Genomic DNA, 2611 nt, shown 5'->3' with positions numbered 1-2611 from the left:
AGCTAAACGGAAGCATGCTCAGGAACTTCCTTGTGATGTTTGCATTCTACTCACAGAGTTGTACTTTCCTTTTGATAGAGCAGCTTTGAAACCCCCTCTTTCTAGCATCGGCAAGGGGACATTTGGAGGGCTTCGAGGCCTGGGGTGGAAAAGGAAATATCTTCTCATCAAAGCTACATGGAAGCATTCTCAGAAGCTGCTTTGTGATGATTGCATTCAAGTCACCGAGTTGAACATCCCCTTTGATGGGGCCGTTTGGAAACACACCATTGGTAGAATCTGAAAGGGGAGATTTGGACCGCTTTGAGGCCTATGGCAGTAGAGGATATAACTGCACATAAAAGCGAGACAGGAGCATTCCCAGGAAACGCTTTGTGACGATTGAGTTCAACTCACAGAGCTCAACATTCGTTTGGGTGGAGCAGTTTCCAAACACACTTTGTGTAGAATCTGCAAGTGGAGATTTGGACCGCTCTGAGGATTTCGTTGGATACGGGAGAAAAGTCACCTACGTAAACAGAAGCATTCTCAGATCCTTCATCGTGATGCTTGCATTCAACTCACAGTGTTGAACCTTTCTCTGACAGTTCAGGTTTGAAACACTCCTTCTGCAGAATCTGCAAGTGGAGATTTGGACCTCCTTGAGGCCTATCGTAGTAAAGGAAAGAACTTCATCTAAAAACAAGACGGAAGCATTCTCAGAAAATTCTTTGCGATGATTGAGTTTAACTCACAGAGCTGAGCATATCTTTTGATGGCGCATTTTCCAAACACACCTTTTGTGGAATATGCAAGTGGATTTTGGGACTTCTCTGAGAATTTCGTTGGAAACGGGATAAACCTCACGTAACTGAAGACGAACATTCTCAGAAGTTCTTGGTGATGTTGGCATTCAACTGACAGAGTTGAACCTTCCCTTGTGAGTTCAGGTTGAAACGCTCTTTTCGTAGTATCTGCAAGTGGAGGTTTGGAACGCTTTGAGGCCTACGGTAGTAAAGGAAACAGCTTCATGTAAACACTGGACAGAAGCATTCTCAGAAAATACTTTGGGATGATTGAGTTCAACTCACAGAGCTGAACATTCCTTTGGGTGGAGCAGTTTTGAAACACACTTTTTGTAGACTCTGCAGGTGGATATTTGGACCTCTCTGAGGATTTCGTTGGAAACGGGATAACGTCACCTAACTAAACAGAAGCTTTCGCAGAAACATCCTTCTGACGTTGGCATTCAAAGTCCAGAGTTGAGCCTTCCTTTGGTAGTTCACGTTTGAAACACTCTTTTTGGAGGACCTGCAAGTGGATATTTGGAGCACTTTGTGGCCTTCGTTCGAAACGGCTATATCTTCACATAAAATCTAGACAGAAGCCTTCTCAGAAACTTCTCTGTAATGATTGCATGCAACTCACAGAGTTGAACATTCCTTTTGATGGAGCAGTTTTGAAACTCTCTTTTGCTAGCATCTGCAAATGGATAGGTGGAACTCTGTGAAGTCTTCTTTGGAAACGGGAATATCCTCACGTAAAAAGTAAACAGAAGCATTCTCAGAAACTCCTTTGTGAGGCTTGTGTTCAACTCCCAGAATATAACATTTCTTTTCATAGAGCAGTTTTGAAACATTCTTTTCGTAGAGCCTCCAAGTGGACATTTGGAGCGCTTTCAGGCCTGCGGTGGAAAAGGAAATATCTTCACATAAAAACTAGAGAGAAGCATTGTCAGAAACTTCTTGGTGATGATTGCATTCAACTCACGGAGCTGAGGATTCCTTTGGATGCAGCAGTTTGGAAACACTCTTTCGGTGGAATCTGCAAGCGGATATGTGGACCTCTTTGAACATTTCGATGGAAAAGGGATAATCTTCCCGTAAAAGCTAAACGGAAGCACGCTCAGGAACTTCCTTGTGATGTTTGCATTCAACTCACAGAGTTGTACTTTCCTTTTGATAGAGCAGCTTTGAAACCCCCTCTTTCTAGCATCTGCAAGGGGACATTTGGGGGGCTTCGAGGCCTGGGGTGGAAAAGGAAATATCTTCTCATCAGAGCTACATGGAAGCATTCTCAGAAGCTGCTTTGTGATGATTGCATTCAAGTCACCGAGTTGAACATCCCCTTTGATGGGGCCGTTTGGAAACACACTTTTGGTAGAATCTGAAAGGGGAGATTTGGACAGCTTTGAGGCCTATGGCAGTAGAGGATATAACTGCACATAAAAGCGAGACAGGAGCATTCCCAGGAACGCTTTGTGACCATTGAGTTTCACTCACAGAGCTGAACATTCCTTTGGGTGGAGCAGTTTCCAAACACACTTTGTGTAGAATCTGCGAGTGGAGATTTGGACCGCTCTGAGGATTCGTGGATACGGGAGAAAAGTCACCTACGTAAACTGAAGCATTCTCAGAACCATCTCGTGAGCTTGCATTCACTCACAGAGTGAACTTTCTCTGACAGTTCAGGTTTGAACACTCCTTCTGCAGATCTGCACTGGAGATTTGGACCTCCTGAAGCCTATCGCAGTAAGGGAAGAACTTTCCTCTAAACAAGAGGTCACATTCTCAGAAATCATTGCGAAGATTGAGTTACCCCAAAGCTAGCATATCTTTGATGCGCTTTTCCA

The sequence above is a fragment of the Homo sapiens genome, chromosome 1 (assembly GCF_000001405.40).
Source record: "Homo sapiens chromosome 1, GRCh38.p14 Primary Assembly".
Lineage (NCBI taxonomy): Eukaryota > Metazoa > Chordata > Mammalia > Primates > Hominidae > Homo > Homo sapiens.
Note: the sequence above shows the minus strand (reverse complement) of the source record.